Source organism: Homo sapiens, chromosome 5, assembly GCF_000001405.40.
Source record: "Homo sapiens chromosome 5, GRCh38.p14 Primary Assembly".
NCBI lineage: Eukaryota > Metazoa > Chordata > Mammalia > Primates > Hominidae > Homo > Homo sapiens.
In genome coordinates, this window is record NC_000005.10 from 82905727 (window position 1) to 82926577 (window position 20851).

General features: G+C 39.2%; 2 long non-coding RNA genes across 3 annotated transcripts in view; one reads left to right on the forward strand and one right to left on the reverse strand.

The window, feature by feature from the left end:
- Positions 1-445: 445 nt before the first annotated feature.
- Positions 446-19631, forward strand: LOC107986430 (uncharacterized). The gene is made up of 3 exons (XR_001742771.2): positions 446-515; positions 5930-6011; positions 19326-19631. It is a non-coding gene; the product is annotated as an uncharacterized LOC107986430 (long non-coding RNA).
- The window catches only part of LOC105379051 (uncharacterized), a 62349-nt gene continuing 49139 nt past the window's right edge, over positions 7642-20851 (reverse strand). The window contains exons 2-3 of one of the 2 annotated variants that reach the window (NR_188290.1): positions 15236-15387; positions 7642-8165 (exon numbers count right to left, since the gene is read on the reverse strand). This is a non-coding gene — a long non-coding RNA (uncharacterized LOC105379051). Of the gene's footprint in view, positions 8166-13656; positions 14237-15235; positions 15388-20851 lie in introns of those variants that run through there. The other variant, NR_188291.1, reaches the window with a different exon arrangement.

Consider the following 20851-nt stretch of genomic DNA (forward strand, 5'->3'; position numbering starts at 1 on the left):
CTAGTGATTTTTTTTTTAATTTTAAAATTCACAATAAAACATTTGGCTACAATTTTTATTTGCTCTGTCAACATTTTTTCTGGCTTGTGTCCTTTGTGTTTGGAAGGTTTACTGCTATTTCTTTCTTACATCTTCTCTTATATAATCTTGGTGTCAGTGCTATGCTAATTCCTTTCATTAATGAACAATTTGAATTTTTCTGAGCAACTTGTTTTCAGAAAGTTCCATTAAGAGAAAAAACATAACTGTACCCTTTCAGACTCTTAATTCCTTTTTTTCTTTCTTAGAGACAGACTTCTTTCTTCCAATATGGCTCATCTGTGTGGTTCTTCCATAGCCCTGCACTTTTGTTTCTCTGAGAGTCACTGGGTCCATGAAGGCTCTTGTTGCCACCCCCGATCACACAGGATCTACACCCATTGCTGCCAGCATGAATACAGCTTCTGCACTTCTCAGATAACCTCTCACCTGCAGGAAGTGCAATTTTCTGAAATCTGCTGCCATGGGATCCTCTCGTGAGTCTCTTTGCTTCTTCTCCTCATGTTTTATATGTGGCTTTTGTCTGGTCTTGTTGCTTTTGGCAGCCTTTAAACTTATTTTGAAGACTGCAGTAAATTTGCTTCCTAGTTTTGCCAAAAATGGAATATGTAGGTTCTTTTTGTATTTCTTATTTTTTTATTTGTTTGATTTCAAAAGTAGAAGAGGGAAATATTAACACATCTATGTTAATGCCAGAAGTGCCTCTAATTCAAATTTAATCTGCTTCAACATGACCTAATTCAGTGCTGTTTCTGTTAGGGCATTGAGACCATCCTGAACATGTATTACAAGACAGGATGTTGCCCAGATGGAAAATGTCCACAGTATTTTATGTATGGATCTGTAGATTTAAAAAAAATGCTAAGTTAAAAATAACATTGGAAATGATAATTTGAAATAATTCTGTTAAATATAAAAATAGAGAATATGGTTATTCAAAATAATTTTGTCTGGTAATTCTAGCGGTTAGAAACCATTTTAGAGAGAGTAAGAATAATTTACATGTAAAAACTAGAAGAAATTGTATCTACAGAGATCATGCTCTTTTGAGTTTTTGTAAGGAAAAAAGTTATCCATGCATTTTCTTCAATAAAATTTGCTATAACTTAGTTGGGCCACAATTAGGATTGTAGCAGAAATTTGTAGTTTCCAGATAGTCTCACCGAGCTTATACATCTAAAATATTTTTAGAAAGTTTTGCTTTTATTAGGTCTATATTTTATCATGAGAAAGGGGGATTATATGCTTATAAAAATTATAAGAACGCTTAAGTCTTTTCTATGTAATACATAGCAAAATGAAAATATTCAGAGGGCTTTCAGTGTCATCTATATAACAGATGATGTTTACTCAGAATAGCAAAATATAGACCAAAAAGAATGAGATTTTCCAATGATTTTCACAAAGCCAACTGTTGCTAGAATGGTCCTAAGAAGCCGGCATATAGAGAAAATACAGAGAGAAAAGGTATTTTCTTTCTGACTTAAAGAAAAAAAATTTCTTAAATGATTTGGATAAGTGTTTCTTCTGGGGTAATATGTGTTAATAATCAGGTAAATGAAAAATAATGTTCATTCCTCTTCTAATCATTTCCAGATGTTTTGGAAGGGATATGTATGCGGATATATTTATTTTATAAATAATATAAATTATAATTAATAACTATGTAATAAATAAACATATATGTTATGAATTATATTAACAGATACACTTCAGGAACCTTTCCATGTCAATGCATGTGAGAAATATTTTACATATACACTTAGACCAGCTGTTGCATAGTATTTAGTTTTATGAATATATAATAATTAATTTAACCAAATCTCTACCTGGAAACATTTTTATTTTTGTATGCATAACTTTTTTCATTTGTATAAAAACTTCTATAAGTGGCATTGCTTGGCCAAATTTTTATGTGTATATGTGTATAAATATACGTACATGATCTATAATGTGTGAGAGGACACTTTTCTGGCTGGAATAACAAGTGAGGTGGAAGCAGAAGAAGGGGATTAGATAAGAGGGGCAGAGTGAGATAAAGGAGCCAGATCATGCAGGCCTTTTAGGCCGTTGTAAAGACTATCATTAATCTTTTTAATTTTGCTGTCTTAGTCAGTTCAGGCTGCTACAACAGAATACCATATATTGGGTGGCTTAAACAACAAACATTTATTTCTCACAGATCTGGAGGCTTCCAAGTCCAAGATCAAGATACCAGCAGATCTAGTGTCTGATGAGGACAGTTTGCAGACAGCTATCTTCTCCTTGTAGCCACACCTGGTGAAGAATAAAAGCTCTGGTCCATCCATCTCATAAGGGCACTAACCCATTATGGAGGCTCCACTCCCATTACTTAATATAACCCTGATGTCCTCCCAAAGCCCCCACCTTCAACTACTATCAATCACCTTGGGGGTTAACACTTTAACATATGACTGCTGGGGAAACACAAACATTCAGCACATAGTACTTGCTGATCTGAGATATAAAAGAAGACTTCTCACAATATATGCATTGCTCATTTGTATGCCTTGGTACATAAATTGCTCATTTTGCCCCTGTTTTCTGTTGGGTTGTTCATATCATTCTTTTTTATTTATAAAATCATTTTTAAAAAATATTAGAAATATGAGCTCTTTGTGTCTTGTATGTTACCACAGTTCACTATTAATAGTTTTTCCATTCTAAAGGATCTTAAAAGGTCTTCCTTATTTATGACTTACATTTAAAATATATCTTTGGGGCTGGGTGCAGTGGCTCATGCCTATAATCCCAACACTTGGGGATGCTGAGGCAGGCGGATCATGAGGTCAACGGATCGAGACCATCTTGGCCAACGTGGTGCAACCCCGTCTCTACTAAAAATACAAAAATTAGCTGGGCATGGTGGCGTGTGCCTGTAGTCCCAGCTACTCAGGAGGCTGGGAGAATCGCTTGAACTCAGGAGGCAGATGTTGCAGTGAGCCGAGATTGTGCCACTGCACTCCAGCCTGGGTGACAGAGCGAGACTCCATCTCTCTCTCTCTCTCTCTCTCTCTCTCTCTCTCTCTCTCTATATATATATATATATATATATATATATATATATGTGTATATATATATATATATGTATATATATATATGAGCATTTTATGCCTATTCTTTGCTTTGTGATGTTTATCAGTTATGGTACCTGGCATCTAGTTACTAAATGTAGTTTGAATGAAATTAACACACATATTTGCTAGATCCTTAGTCACTGATGAAGATTAGACTTTTTGGTTGTCATTTGTGGTAGGCAGAATAATGCTCTTCCCTCCAAAAATGTCCATGCCCTACAATCCCCCAAACCTGTGAATGTTACTTTACATGGCAAAATAAATTTGAGTTTGTGATTAAATTAAGGATTTTGAGATGGAGAGGTTATTCTGGATTAGCCAGGTGGGACAAATGCAATCACAGGGGTTTGTATAAGAGAGAGGAAGAAGTGTCAGAGTCAGAGAAGAGACAAGACAACAGAAGCAGAGCTCATAGAGGAAAAAGATTTGATAATACCATGCTGCTGGCTTTGAAGATGGTTAATGGGGCCATGAGCCAAAAACTGCCAGTAACCTATAGATGCTAGAAAAGGCAAGGAAATGGATTCTCTCCTGGGACCTCCAGAAGGAATTCAGCACTGCCAACTCAGTTTGGGCTCCTGACCTCCAGAACTCTAAGATAACAAATTTGTGCTGTTTCAAGCTTGTGGTAATTTCTTACAGCAGCAATAGGAAATGAATGCATTACTCTATTTATTGACCTGGATTAATTACTTTACTACTTCTTGATGTATCAGTTTCTTCATTTATGGTGTGGAACTTCTATGATATTGTATTAGTCCTTAGATTCCTCTCAGATGAAGCCCTGAGGGGTTGTATGTTTTGTGTAATGAAGCAGAATGCAGATTTGTCACTCTTCTCACTTTATCATTCATAGGAAGGAGGCAGTGTGTTTAGTATAATACCCTCAGGGAATTTCTACCATGTGAGTTTGGCTCTGGTATACGTTGCTTGCTGTGCTCTACTTAGTAAATAAAAGCCTTGTAGAATCAGGATCAGAGGGGACGAGAAGCTCTGCTATCCTAAAAAAAAGTCCAAAAGAGGGTGCACAACATGCGCCAGGGCAGAGAAGTGGTGCAGTCGGTGCAGGTGGCTGTTAGTGGAAGCTTTGAACACAGGCTGACTTCCTGAAGGCTCTCTGGGTTTTCTGTTGTGTGTTCACTGGCTGTGTGAAATGGACTACACAGCCACGTTAGGTGATTGCAGAGAGAGATAATGGTACAGGGCCCACAGCTGGTTGATCTCAAGAGCTGTTTTTTCACTGACAGGCGACAGGTCCGGGATGAACCATCCATGAAGGTCCAATATCTTTTGTGTTCTAGTCAAGGCTGGCCAGATGGAAGTTTGTCACTGTATAAAATACATGGTTTCTAGAGGGACTGAACAAGCCACATGGCCATATTTGCACCATGAATGAGATGGATGAATGGACTTGATACACTGTGTGGACAATTTTTTGCTGCTGAGGCACTAACCAAACAAGCCCAACCGTTCTTCAGGCACATAAGAGATAGGGATGCAAGCCCACAAACTTTCATAAACCATCATCTCATGATTGAAATTTTAAACCTATAGTTATACAGAGAAAATATGTGTATGATAAGGAATATCATTAATATCATTGTCTTCCTAGGACCAAGAATAACATTTTGGTTAAAGTGACAAAACTATTAAGTCAAATACAAGTTACATTCTCTGTACTTTCCTTCTGAAAGCCTCGTGGGATCTAGAATGAGTTTTCAATTCCATTGCTCATAGTTATACATACATAGTTGAATACAAGATCTCTAGTCTTTATTCTTTCTGATTAATTAGCCAGATTTGACTCTAGCCAGCTATGTGACTACCCTGTGAAAGGGACCAGATGTATCTGTCTTGTTATTTAAGGGAGGTTTTATATAATCTGACTGAATTGCACAGCCCGAATGTTTCTGTGTTCCCATAAGAGTGATGAATGAATAAACAACTGAAAACACTAAGCTAGCCATTAATTTATCTTGGGGACCACCACAAAATATAGTAAAAATAAAAATAGATATGGTGCTTTGGGACTTGATGGCAACTGACTTATGAAAAGTTTCACCCTATAATTGAGACAGTTGAATTCACTAACTTGTGACTCCAGGTTGGATTCAAGTATGGTTTTCTATTTTTCTTCTGATTGTTGGACAAACTGTGTGTTTCTCAAAGGAACAGTATTAGTCTTTTTGGTCCCTGGGTTCAGAGGCCACATTTGTGGCTTGTCAACATTTTGCCAAAAGCTTTGTTAAAATAAAATAGGCCATTATCTAATCTGTGTGGAAACTCTGGGGGTGGTAAAAAGGAGAATTTTCTTACTGGGGATAAAATAATTTTGCTTTGGTTTCAGTAGAGTATTCATTTCTTATTTGACTCATGAACAATTTAATGTACAGCCTACTCAGTTTGGGATAATGTTGAATTTTAGGGTATTGTTAATAACAAATAACAATAATTCTTTGAACGTAGTCTTTTATATTTTTAAAGAACTCATTATATTTAAATAAATTGTCTTTCTTTTCAGTTTTTATTTACCAAGAAATATAATAGTGGTCAAACGAACCTCATTCAATTCTAAACCAAAGTAAATAATGTTTTCTGAGGGTAATCAATTATTTGGGGAGTCCACAGGCTACCATTTAATGTGCCAATGGAAACAACTCATTCTTCCTCATCATTTCTTTGCATTAACTATCACCTCCTCTTAGCATTTATGGCTCACGTTTGGTGCGTGACTTGGGTTCAGGTGATGGAAATCATCTTTAACTAATTAACTTCTCTCTTCCCGAGAGCAGAATCTCAACAAAGTGCTCACTGAGAGCTGCCCTGACAAATCTCCCAGGAAAGGCAGTGTGACGTGGAGCAAGGAACACCACGGTAGGAGTCCAAAGGGCAACTTGTTTGTCTTAGCTCTTCTACTGGTCATATGATCATGTATGGATCTCCTTCCCCGTAGAGTGATGATAATACACGTGCCCTGCCAAGAGCACAGGCCAATGTGTGGCATAAATCAGATCAAGAATCTGCAAGTACTTTGTAGGTCATAATGTGTTGGGCAAATGTAAGATACCACTGATATTTGATTCCACGTAGGCCCTGCCCTAACATAGCTGAGTCTCTCTATGCTGCCTACCCAAGTATCTGGTCTCTTACCATAAATGGAACAGCAGGAGCCCCACCCTTGGTAGCCAGAAGGCAGAGTCATCCTCTGTTGGATGTTTCATTCAAACAGCTGTTTCACTCACACAGCTCATTTCTCCCACCTCCTCCAGCTCCCATCTGCTTTACATAGAAACCACCACTCTCGGGATGTGACCCAGTTGCCTCACCACACACAGAGACTTCCTCCCAGAGCACACACACCCAGAGCACAGGAGAGTCACTGTGCTGCCCCTAAGCTCATGACCAACACATCTCATTATCCACATGGTACATCCAGGGTTTGCCCTTCGCTGCTGCTTCCATCTCCCAGTTGCCACTTAAGAGTGTTCCTATTTCTTGGAGGTGTCACTGTAATTTCCTTCTCATTATTGGTGTTCTCAGGATGTAATTTATTCACTAGGACTCAATGTACATTCTAGCACTTCTAACAGTATTATTTACAAATTAGAAATTGGTGTTAATAATGTTGAAAAATGACTGAGTCAATTTTTTCACGCTGCTCAGTCCTCAGCAGGCCCTAAACATGAAAGGGAATTGCAGGTAGACCTGTGTGAGTCCTGAATGCAGAAATAAGTTACGTGACAAAGCCGGCAGGCAAGTGATATCTTTTTGGTTGGGGCAGGATGACAGAGGTTAGTGATAGTACCAGTGGCTTTTTGATTTGGGTTGGGAGAGCACCTGTGGTTGGTGGGGTGGGGGCGGCTTCCTCACTGTGGCAGAGAAGACTTGGGTAAAGCAGGTCCTTTTCCAGGGTGGTCCTCTAGTGAGGCTCGGAGCTGGGTGTTACTCCTGGAAGCTCATTCCCCCTTCTGCTGAGCCTAAGGAGGCAAGCCTGTGTTGCGTGGGAAAGACTGTGTGTTTGGGGCGGGTGGAGAGTGGAGGAGGAGGTTCTCCCTTCTATGCTCCTGACGGATCATCATTCGCCTCACAGAGCAGGAGGTAGGGCTCAGCTCTACCCTTCAGCTTCTCTGTAGCAAGCTGCCAAGCCGCCAAATGGTTCCAGAAGTAGCTTGCTTGTTTCCTCCCCACATGTAGATCCATGAGTATCTGTAAGCTCCTTGATGGCCAGGTCTTCCACATATTTGTAGCCTTAACAGTCTTGAACAGTGTCCCAGCATGGGAAGGTGTTTAATAAATGTTCAGTCCCTGGCTAACGTATGGAAGCATGAGCTTGTGTGTGTGTCTGGGTCAGAATTTCTTCTAAATTTCAGTGTTTTTCTGTAATTAATTATGCTTTAAGCTTACACACATCATGGTTTGCCAGTGACCTAAGAAGGTTGCACAACTATCATGCATTAGGATTTCCTGACACCTACATATATAAAAAAGAAATTAAATAATATGAAAGATTGAAAAAAATCTTTTAATATTATTATGCAGTTGAAACAGCAAACATGTATATAGGGTTACTTTGAGAGAGGCACTCTTCTACGGGCTTTATATGCATTAACTCATTTAATCTTCACATTGATCCCATTTTACTAATGAGAAAATTGAGACACAGAAGGATTCAGTAATTTACCTAAGGTCACACAGCTAGTAAATAGTAGAGTTGGTATTTAAACTCAGGCAGTCAAACTCTAGAGTCTGTGTTCCTAACCCCTATACAGACTCCATTTTACATTTCACTGAAGACACAGTGAGGATACATTGATTTTATAGTAAGTGAAATAGCTAGGGCTCAACATAGGTGCACTCCAAATTCTGTGGTACTTATCTGTAATAACTGGTATTTGTATAGCACCTCACATTTTCTAATACCTTTCACGATAGTATTACTTTATTGGTATCCTTTGTTTGCGTGTTGCTATAGGTGTGTGATACTTTAGGAGATCCATTATCCCATCCAATCTTCCCATTAGTCCTGTCCTATAAAATAGAGATGAGTTGTTATTTAAGGATATAAGTAACATTTAAAAATCAAATAATACCAGCAAATGCTAAAACATCAAATAATATAGAGCTAATATTGAAAAGCAAATCTATTACTCCCTCCCTCAACTCAATCCTGCTTCCCAAAAGCAACTTACTTTAAATTTGTTTTTAGTTATTCAGCTGGTTACATTTAAACTCTAAAGTAGAGATTTTTAAATCTATTCTTAACTTAAAATGTTCAGACATGATCCATTGGCTGCCTGCTACAAAGAATGAAAATTCAGCTCACTGCCAGCATCTTCTTTTCCTTCCAATGTTTATTACTTATATTAGAACTTTAATTTTTTTGAGGATGGATTATCTTAGTAACTTTAAATTCTATATATTTCTAATTTGTTTTGGTTCAACTGTATCTGGAACCCCATTCTAAATAAGGGAGGATTTTAGTACACTGCACTTTCACTTTATCTTACCACTTTCTCTCACCACTTTCTCTCTCCCACTTTCTGCTGACTGTATCTTGAATACCATCAACGTTGCTGCTATTTATATTATGTAATATGTTGTGTAATTAGAATTAAGGCCTCTGTGCTTTGTCCATAAGTTGACTATAAAATTTAGAAGTCAAGAAATGGCCTACACATTATGACAGTATTGGTACTTTTTAGTACATAACCTAAGAATTACACTTTCTTTTCAGCACGTTCAAATCATGACTATTGATTGACCTACTTGAAAGAGACTGTTCTTGGGATCAAGATCAACTAGATTCTCAATCACTAAATAATCATGTCATATTTAAGGCTTCATTTTTGGAATAAGAGTATTGGTTTGCCCTGGGTTCCTTCAACTTTTCTCATCAAGCTTATTCAGTCTTTCGACCATGATGGATAAATCTTCCGCTACCTGGCCATGCACGGTGACTCATGCTTGTAATTGCAGCACTTTGGGAGGCTGAGGCAGGCAGATCACAAGGTCAGGAGATCGAGACCATCCTGGCTAACATGGTGAAACCCTGTCTCTACTAAAAATACAAAAAAAAAAAAAATTAGCCGGGCATGGTGGCGGACACCTGTAGTCCCAGCTACTCAGGAGGCTGAGGCAGGAGAATGGCATGAACCCAGGAGGCGGAGCTTGCAGTGAGCCGAGATCGTGCCACTGCACTCCAGCCTGGGCGACAGAGCAAGACTTCGTCTCCAAAACAAAACAAAACAAAACAGCTTCTTCTACCTTTTCCACCTCCTGAGGTCTTTATCCCCTTGTTACAATCTGGACCAGGGCTCTGAAGATCAGTAGCAGACCTTCCATCCTTGGTCTCCTCTTTGTTGTTCTCCTAGGTTGAAACCTGTTTCCTTGATTCTATGTCCTTTTCCTAATCATCAATCCCATGTATGTTTGAGTACGGTCTTAAACATTGCAGGTTAATAGTCTTAGATCTTAATATTGAATACAGTGAGTTCTAAATTTCTCTTCAAAGAATCAGTATGTCAGTATGTTCAGTTCTTTGTTCTCCATTTTAAAGTTTAACTTCCTTGTTCTCCTCACCCCTCGTTTCAGTAAACAACCTTTTCCACGAGTTCAAATCAGTAGTTCACATCTGTTCCCCTGGTCACCTCCTCCGTCCGGAGTCGACCCTGGTCTCTTGCTCTGACCTGAATCATCCTGAATCACCTGTTCTGTAACCACCCTTCCCACCAAACTACTCACTCCATGACTCCAACTCCTACCCCCTCTCTCTTTAAAATAGCCAATCAGAATTAGCTTAGACTGTGCGGTCCAACCCTAGCCAGCAGGAGAATGACACAGCAGTAGGGGCTACCTGCATCAGGAAAAAAAATCTCTTCTCCTCCCTTCTTCAAGTGTGCTCTCACCATTGCTCCATCCGCGAGTCATACCCTTCTATAGAAGTAAAATTGCCTTGCTGAGAAAATTAATGTTTGAGTGCTATTTCTTTTGTGGCATTGAAAATGTATTTATAACATTAATGTTTCACGTTTCTAAGTGTATTAACTTTTCTTTCATGTATTTTATATTATGACTGTGCACAGAATTCTAGGTTGGAAACTATTTTCCTTCAAAATCTTGAAGGAATTTCTACACTGTCTTCCAATATCTAGTCCTTGCTGTTGAGATGTTTAAGACTAGTCTAATCTTTGTTTATTGATAGGAGACATGCTTTATCTTCAAAAACGTGTAGAATGCTTGGTGTTCTGAAATCCTACCACATAATGGTAATTGTTAAAACACACACACACAAACACACACACACATTTTTTCTGAAGATCTTTTTAGTTAAATATTAAACCTCCTAGATTGGTCTTTTATGTCTCTTAGTTTTACCTCATCTTTTCTATTTCTTTTACTCTATTTTCTTTGAGATTACTTTACTTTTATCTTCCAGTCCTCTAAGTCCTATTGAATCTTTCTTTTTCTTTTCTTTTCCTTTTTTGAGACAGGGTCTCACTCTGTTGCCCAGGCACTATCTCAGCTCACTGCAGCCTCTGCCTCCTGGGTTCAAGGGATTCTCCTGCCTCAGCCTCCCAAGTAGCTGGGACTACAGGTGCACACCACTGCACCTGGCTAATTTTTGTATTTTGGGTAGAGACAGGGTTTCACCATGTTGTCCAGGCTGGTCTTGAACTCCTGAGCTCAAGTAATCTGCCTGCCTCAGCCTCCCAAAGTGCTGGGATTACAGGTGTGAGCCACTGTGCCTGGCCCTATTGAACTTTTCTATTTTAGCTGTCATGTTTTGAATCTCTAAAGTTTCTTTATTATAGATGAACTGTTCCTTATTCATTGCATTCTATTCTTATTACATGAGTGTAATGATTTCTCACATCGTGACTAGGATACCAATTAAAATTGGCAGATAATTAGAGAGCAAACTCTGGGGCCAAGCTGACCCGGATAGAATCATGGGCTCCACCACTTAGCTATAACTGTGGGTAACTGTGGAAACCAAAGTGGCCCTATTTTCATGCTAATCTGCCATGTTGATTTCTGATTAGCTCCAGTATCATGAATGCTCCTTGATTCCTGCTTTATTTACTGTCCTTAGTGTAAGAACTTGTCAACCTTGATGTTGTTGCAGAAATTATAGGCTGTGATGCGTATAGTATTCTTGCCTCTTCTGGAGGGTGCCTTTGTGTTGCTGGAGCACATACACCCTTTCCCTGTGGTCTACAAGCCTTGGATCTGGGGAGTAACAGTGTGGAGATCTACCTGTCTTGCTGCTGCTCAAGACCGCATTTCTGTCTGCAAGTTCCCTCAATGAAGCACCCTTTATCGGCAAACTGAATTTGTCTGCATGGCTCTTTGGTTTCTCAACTCCTGCAGCATTTGGGGACTGCTTCCCGTATACAGCCCTTTCACACAGCAGTAACTCATTCCACCTCCCTGTGCTTCAGTTTTCTTATTTGTTAAATGGAGATGGTAAAAATTCATATTTTGTAAGATAGTTCTCAGGAAGAAATGAGTTAATATATATAAAGCTCTTGGAATAATGCCTGACTTCAAATAAGTGCAATATAAATGCTGTTATTATTAAGTTATCTTCTGTTTTCTGCAGAGTTGGTTTTTCTGTTTTATTAATTTGGTCTTTTACTTTGTGCTTTTGGTTTTCATACATATATATATATATATATATATATATATATATATATATATATATAAATATATATATATATATATATAACATGTATATTTGTTATCCAATCACTTTTAAGAATAAAGAATGGGGCTCATTATTCTAGTTAATTTGTGTAGGTTTCCTCCGCTGCTGTGTGAATAGGTCTTTTCTCAAAAACTCCCCTTCACTGCTTTGAAATTTGACTGGCAGTTTATGTATGTAGGCAAGGGCGTGTTAAACGACCTGCTTTGTTTCAATATGAGTGATATGGATATCAGCTGACAGGTTGCAGTTTCCCTAAATGCTAAAACAAAGAGGTTTTAAACCTCTATACCCCCAATAAAAGCCTAAGCAGTTCAGCCACTTTATTTATCAAGGAGATTCCACTTGCTGGTGTAGGGAAAGAGGGATGAGAGGCACTGGGGAGAAATTTGGTTCAAAGACCTCCGGATAATCCCGTTTGCTCGACTTCCCATGTCTGCCTTCTGCCTCATTTGCCAACTTCATTTGGTGCCTCCAGTGAGAATACTGACTTTCACCTCCACCTCCACTGCAGTCTGCTCTTACTGGATTTGCATCTGCACTTTGCTCTGCTCCATTTCATATTTCAATAGGTTTTTATTCTCTTTCTGTATTTCAAAAATGTGTTGGAATCTCTGTTCAGATGTTAACTCTCTCCAATTATCTTCTTTGTTAATGAAATCCATTTTTTGTTACTTTTATATATCTTAAAATCACTAGGATTTCCAGGGAGTCCTGAGATTGATGGGAAGTTTGTTGCTCATTCTACTCTCTTGATCCGGAACTGACATCACAAATATTATTGTTGAGATCACTGCAGATTACCAGTTAATGACTTATCCCCCACCCTGCCCCACCCCGCTTCTTGATTCTGGAGCAATTGACAACAAAGCTAAAAGTCTTGTCTCAAAAAAAAAAAAAAAAAGACCACACATAAACAGTGACAATTGATGCATTATCTCTTCCAAAAACAGAAACCATGACTAATAGATGTTTGACTCTAATTGCTTCAATCAGTTAAGTCATTCCTTCTTCCTAGGAGGAGAAGTAAGAAGTAAAGAGAATAGCTGGTGCTTGATCCCTGTCTTAACCCATTTGGGGTGCTGTAAAGGGATGCCTGAGGCTGGACAGTTCATAAAGAAAAGAGGCTTAATTGGCTCATAGTGCTGCAGGTTGTACAAGAAGCATGGCACCAGCATCTGCTTGGCTTCTGGTGAGGGCTTTTGTGCTGCATCAAAACATGGCCTAGGAAGTCAAAGGGGAAGCAGGCATGTATGAAGTGGGACCAAACAGGAAGTGGGACCTCTCTTTCTTTATAACAACCCATGCTCAAGGGAAATAACCCATTCCCATGAGGACTAATTCTGTCTAGCCAGAAGGAGAACGCACACTCATTACCTGGAGGATAGCACCAAGCCTTTCATGAAGAATCTGCCCCCAGGACCCAAATATCTTCCACTAGGCCCAACCACACCACCACAAATTGGGGATCAAATTTCAACATGAGCTTTGGGTGAGGACAAACAAATAACCAAATCACAGCAGTCCCAAAGACTTGCCTGTGTGGTGAGAAGTATTAGTAAGTTCCTGTTTTTGAGCTGGGTAGGAATACAGAGTGTAACATGGTAGAGATATCCTTTTCCATTTATTTTACAGCTAAAGTACCTGAAACTTTGGAGGTTAAATGACTGGCTCGAGGGTATGGAATTGATAAATGATAAAGTTGGATTCTTAGATTTCTAACTTGGCGCCCTTTAATTCTTCAATGCTGCATCCCTGCTCTATGTTATGGTACTATGACCTCAAACATCAAAACACGAAATCTTCAAAGACGTATTTGATGAAGTTAAAAATATTTATTAATATTTAGAACTATCTTCTCACATGATCACAATACTGTAATTCCTAAGGTAAGAAAGGGAGCTAATATAGTTTAGAAATTCCAAAAAATATACTAGAAGCAAAAACATTTTCAAGTTCTCACTAATCTACAACATCTTATTAACCAGAATTTCGTGCCCTTTGCCTCACTTTTCAGGCTTTCTGGTATATAGTTTTCTAACACAGAAAATATTTTTATTTTCTGAATTTCTCATTTCAGTCTTTGAGTTTCTTAGGAAATAGTTGACTCCATTCCTATAAGTGCCCAGTAGTAAATCACAAGTGTCTGTATTTCTTAGTGCCAGAAAAAGCACAAAACGAAAAGGCTCCCTCAGGAGACATACATGTTGTGAGCTTCCATGACCGGCAGATGGATGGAATTTGGTGAAAGTCCATTTTACATGTGGATGGCTCCTAACATAGCTCTTCTCACAAAATAGCTGGTGATGACATTTGGCCATTTTCATGAAGCATCTCATTTTTTCCTCTGCTCAGCTTGAGATTGGTTCCTGAATTACAATCTCTGGCAGCACAGCTGAAACAGGAAACATTAAGTTGCTGGCACAGAGAAACCCCTTTCCTTTCCTTTACCCTGAGATTCCATTAAAGCATCTCAGCTAAAAGTTTTTATAATAGGTATTTCCATGTATTTGAGAAAAAGGAAACAACTAGCTGAAATAAAGCTTTCTGATGTTTTGTCCTTCATAACAAAAAAAATGATAAAGTAAAGAGAACATACTATCCAGGTAATTTAGCTAATTCAAAACCATATTTGTGACCTGACCATCTCAATAGTTTAGAAACAGTCTTTCTTCCATCATTTCAATATCTATAGAGGACCTCCGATGTGTTATGTACTGGATGACCAGGGCTGAGACCCTACTTTTAAGGAGCTCGTAAGTCTGGAGAGGGAGACAGAAGAATGAACTATTAAGTACAGTATTACATATTCCACACCACGCTGGGATGTGCTTTAGGCAAGTGTAGGAATACAGGATAATGAAGAAGAGCAGCTTATCTATCCAGTGCAAAGGGTAGGGGTGGCATGAGAGATGAACATGATCTTTGAACTTAACCCTAATTTAAAAAAAAAGACAGACTTTCCAAAAAGACAAGATATGAAAGGGTATCCTAGGCAGAAGGAGTGGAATATTTAGATAAGGAGGCATGAAAGAGGAAAGTGTGCTCTGAGCACAAAGCCTTTAGAGCTAGAGCAGAGCATGAGGTGAAGGGAAGGTAGATGACATCAGAGAATGGAAAAATGGTGTTGTTGACATGGCAATAGTTTGAACTTTGTCCTCCAGACCCATCTTTCCGATATCTGTGAGTTTCTTACATGCTTTTGCAGACTGGAATTTCTGGTGGTGCAGTAGAATAAACTTGCATCTCTAATTACTGCAGAATTTTTTCAGTCATGGTTTGAGCACAACTGCATCCTGCCCTGATCATGTGAAGAAGGAAATATTCCCTCATGTTTCATGGACACATGCTTTCCTGAACCCAGCCTGGCACTTCTCTGAGTGGCTTCGCTTACCTGCAGCAACCTGCGCTGCTGCTGCTCCATCCATCTCGGGATCGCCTCCATTCAGTGTTTCGTGTGAGAGGTGGCTCTGTCAGAGGATTAGCCCCCGCTGGAGCTAACGAAACCACATATGTACGCATTGCCCCAAATGTAGCAATACGCCTCTGAAAATGACAAATTCAGAAAATGATCCGTTGAAATTAAGTGGATGGTGACAAGAAAACATTTGTGCATTAGAAACTTAATTCTGAAGGATGAATTATCTACCTACATCATGGTCAGAACTTTAGGTAGTATCTATGGGATGAAAATGCACACATTTAAATTTATATAAATACACAATAATTTTAGAAAGCAGTATAGCATTGAGGTTAAGAGCCTAGGCTCTGGAGCAAATCAGCCTGGATCCAAATCATTGATCTCCTACTAGCCTATTTTTATGACATTATATAGAGAATTATAAAACATCTCTGTACTTCTGTTTCTTTATCTGTAAAGTGGGGGTTATAATAGCACTTATTTATTGGAGTTGTGAGGATTAAATGTAATAGTACGTATAAAGCAATTAGAATAATATCTGGCACAGAATTTATGCTCAGTAAAAGTTAGCTGTTATAATAAGATAAATTGATAGGATAAAGGAAGAAGGAAAAGAGGAGACATAGGGTAACTTGAACAATGGGAATGATAATTGATTGTATGGAAGGAATCTAGAAGGAGGTAAAAGCAAGAATCTAGAAGGAAAGAATCTAGAAGGAGGTAAAAATTGGGGGAAGATCATGAAAGAAGAAAGAATTTCAGTATTTGAGGTGTTAAATGTGAAGAGGTTGTGATATACATAAAGTGAGATGCCAAGTAGTCAGTTGGGTATATGTAAGTTGGAGGCTTATATGAAAGATGGGTGTGAGGATATAAATTTTGGGAACTCCAGTTTACAGGTGAAAGTTGGGGCCATTAGGTTATAGGAGACTGCCATTGAGAGAGTGAGGAGAAAACCCAATTTATCCTTAAGATAATTGCTTAAAATATTCAGATAATTTCCTCTTTTTTCCTCTTTAAGTTAATGCAGTTTTATTTTTCTGATGATGCAAGTAATACATGTTTTCTGCATAAAATTCTGGCTGATCTTCTTAATGGTCATTTTTAAAAAATTGTGATTCTTCCCCACGAGTTAGCCTTTGCTTGAGGAGAAAATCTTCTTGAGTTACCCCACATTGGGACTTTCACCACAAGACAAAATGCAAAAGTACCTCCTGCTCTGTTGTCTTCAGTGAAGGCCAAACAAAAGTAATCAGCTGGAGTTCTCCCCTCCTTAGATGAAAGCCCAGCTGTGTCCTGTCCAGACAGGGAGCTTGGAGCCAAGCGGCGGGGGGATAGGCCACTTACTCTGTGATGGAGGATAAATAGTGGGGCCCTTTGTGCTGCTGGCACGTTGGCAGGGCAGGCTGGTATTAGAGGAGAAAGCCTATGATTACTTCAAACACAGACATTTTCCCTCCAGTGGTGTTACTGTGCAGCCTGGAAGTTAAACTGCAAAGTGACCACCAGGGCACTTCCACGGCTCCAATGCAGCAGCCCCTGGTGAGAAGGAGGGCTACCGCCTGCCTAGGGGTGCTGAGGCCTAGGATCTGTGGCCCCTTCGGAGGGAAATGGATTCAGAAAGTCTTTCCACAGTGAACCTGTGCAAGCCTTATGAGTGCTGTCCCCTCTCCATCTGCCATTTCCAGCTTCTGGATCTGGACACGTCCACGGTAGATAAACCAGCAGGCCGACTCAGCTTGGGCACAGACACTAGCAAAGCTGAGCCACCAACCCCATGCCAATGAGCAAAGTTAAGCTTCGTGAAATCACACAGGTTTTAGCAATCAAAACATCTAGAAAAAAGCAATTTTGATTTCAGCATTCCTGCAAGTTGTGCTTCACTCTTTAGGTCTTATTCTGATCACTAACGTGGAGGACTCATCATATTTTTATGCTAAGAGCTTCTAAAGCTTAATTGACCCTTAGCAAATCACCAAAACAGATGCTCAGTGCCGGTATTATGGGGTGGTAGATGGTGAGCAGAGAATATCTATTCCAATCTATTTCTAAGACTATGACCATTTCCCTTGCATGTGGGGAGGAAGAAACAACCTAATGTTCTCTTTCCAGGCTCTTGGTCAGTTGTTTTCATGCATCTGGTCGCCCTCCTCAGCTGAGATACGAATAGAGATACAAATAGAGGATCTGCTGCTTTTGGCATTTTATTCCCTGCTGCCTCCTTACAGCCAGCTTTAGATTTACCACTCACCCTCAGTTACTCTGTTGGCTGCAATTCTACTCTGCTACTGCTTATAGACCTAACATTCCTTGGACAACTCCTCAGTATTTTAGGAAGTTTTCATGATGTTATCCTGTATTCTCTCTCTCTCTCTTTTTTTTTTTTTTTAGAGACAGGGTCTTGCTCTGTCACCCAGGCTAGAGTGCAATGGTGTGACCTTGGCTCACTGCAGCTTGGAACTCCTAGACTCAAGTGATCCTCCCACCTCAGCTACCCAAGTAGCTGGGTCTACAGGTGCACACCACCATGCCCAGCTAATTTTTAAATTTTCTGTGGCGATTCGGTCTCACCATGTTGCCCAGGCTGGTCTCAAACTCCTGGCCTCAAGTGACTCTCCTGCCTCAGCCTCCTAAAGTGCTGGGATTATAGCATGAGCTGTGCCCAGCCCGTCCTGTATTCTTTGAGTATGCTTTGTCCAAGTGTCGTTAAATGCTGCAGAGGGTTACTGATTACTATAAATCACACCAGGCAAGGCCAACACATGGTGAACTCTCTTCTTGAACCTCCAGAGAATCTAAGTATGTAAAGTTAGAAACAAACAAACAACAACAACAAAGCCATGGCCAGTCTGAAAGCAACTGCAAAACCCTCAAAGATTTTGCCTCTTGGCCACGAAAGCTTATTGTATGGGACACCTCAAATTTTTCACCCACTCTTTCTTCTTACTTTCTTTCCTTTTGCTTTTCTTGGGGTTTCCGATTGCAGGACGGCAACGATGTCACCATACAGAGCTCATGGCAGTTAGTCGGAGGATGCTACTTAAATCCTGACACTTACCCTACATTTACCATCCTCAGTCTTTCCTCAATCTTAGAGTCATGCCTTCGTCTCCCCAAATATCCCCTTCTCTCTCCTATTTTTCTATCACCCTCCCCCTTCAACACATATTTCCATTAGGAAGGCCAAGGGGAAAATAACCCACTAACCTCTAAGAAAAAAAGACCTTGGGTTTTCTTGTTGATGTTGAAGGAAAAAGAGACATCAACAGGACACCTCCTCCATCCCTTTAAATCCTAGCTACTACTAGGATTTGACTGATTTCCAACTCTGAAAAGGCTTCAGAAAATACTCAGCAACTCTGCAAACATGAGTAAGAGAATTTTGATAGATTAGGAACAAATGTTAACAGTCAAGATATTCTAAGAATGTTCTGCCTTTTCTATCCAGAAATATTTCAGTCGTGCTCCCTTTAAAAGACACAATTCGTTGTGTAACATATCTGACCTTTGACCCTTAGGATGTGGGGTATCAGGTGGTGATGGTGGGAGGGAGGCTTTTGCAGTCACTCTCTAGAATGAGCCTCTTCTTTAATAAGAAAAGGGTGGTTCTCACACCAAACATGGGAAAACAAATATTTTGAAAAGCAAACCTTTTTTGAAAAGCAAAAACAAATATTTTGAAAGCAAAAACCTTGGAAAGAAAAGCTTTAATGTCTATAATTCGTTCATGTCGTTTATTGCAATCTAAGTGGGAGTTGACTTGAACACACTGTGTGGGTGTGGGTGTGTGTGTACAAGAGAAGGATTGGGTAGGATTTCCCCCAACTCTGTTTTTTCAGAGGAGTTAAGATGAATTATAGTAAGAGTTGTTTCACTCCCAGAAAAGATTAATTTGGAAAACATTTCTTTTGACACGCTGCTTATAATTAAAGTAATTCTTCATTTTTCTCTGTTTCCTTTAAGTAAAAACTTGTGGCTTTATTTAACCTTCCATCAATTAACTCTCTCAAAGAAAAATAACCCTGAGCCCCATAAACATGCATATTTAATTCTTTATTGACAGAGAACAGAAGAGCAGTGACTGCCACTGGCTGCAAGGACTCCGGCATTACTACAGCTCCCAAGTCAGATACCCTGTGTGCACCAACCTCCAGTTTCCTGCTTTCTCTGGCAGGGGTTTTGATTCTGAAATCCTGCCTCCTACAAGTTTCACCAGTGCATACAGTTAGATACAGTAATTCTACTAAAATTATGCGGTTGGAAATGTTTGCATAGGAACATTCTTCATTCATCAAGCATGTTTCGATCTCTTTTGTGCTAGGCACTGAGGACACACTAGTGAGCAAAATAAACATTATCACTTCCTTTGGCTTGTAGTCCAGTGGGGAAGAAAGAAATTAACCAAATAATTAAAATAATACACAATTAAAAATAATATAAAGCATTATAAAGAAAAGTACTTCTTGCTTTAAGAATGCCACATTAGGGGAACTGACTTATACAGAGTAAGAGTGTGTTAGGGGAAGTTGTCAGGAAAGTTATCAGAAAGGTCTTTCCTGAGGATACGTCTGAACTAAGACCTGAAGGATGACTGCTGTGTTAATACCATGGAATTCCATATAGCAATTAAGGACACATGAAGAAAAACATGTATTGAAATAGATGGCCTTCTAAATCTAGTGTTTGGGAAAAATCAAGTTGCAAAATGATATTATGATATATTGAATTATTTTTTAACTTTTTTTGTATGCCCTGTTCTTTTTGCCATGTGGCTTTGTAGTAACTTCCTCTAGAATTGTGGATTACATATCCTTGCCCCGCTGAAACTAGGTTTAGCTGTATCATTGGCTTTGGTTCGTGAAAAGTGGGCAGAAGTGACCATGTGTCAGTTTCAAGGGAGACCTCAGAGACATGGCGTCTTTCTTCCTATCCTCTTATATTCAGGTGATCTTCTGTGAGATGAGCAAGGCCCAGGTAGCCTCTACCTCTTCATCCCAAACCCAGAACAAACACATATGGAACAGACATGAACACAGCCACACCCAGAAGACCCACAGCCTACTCTGCACAGCTACCTGTCTGAGCCCATCTGATTAACCAAACTTTAGCTGACTTGCAACCTCATGAGTTTGGGAAAAAATGCTTATTGTGAATCACCTAGTTTTGGGGTAGTTTGCTAGATAGCATTGTTGTAGCCATAATCAACAACACAGTTATACAATATAATACCATTTACGTAAATTTTGAAAATCTGTAAAACAAAGCTATGTATTATACACGAATACACATATAATTTAATATCGTAAGAAAAGGAATGGAAAAGAGATGCACCAGAATCACAATAGTCATTAGGGTACAGTGCTGCCTTTGACAGTATCTGAAGTGTTTCATTTCTTAAAAACAAAACCAAAACCCAAAGTGTGATTGGCAAGCTTTTAGACGTCAATAGGGCTAGACGGTAGATAAACAGGCTCTGGTTCAAATATATATATATATATATATATATATTTTTTTTTTTTTTTTTGAGACGGAGTCTTGCTCTGTCGCCCAGGCTGGAGTGCAGTGGCACGATCTCAGCTCACTGCAAGC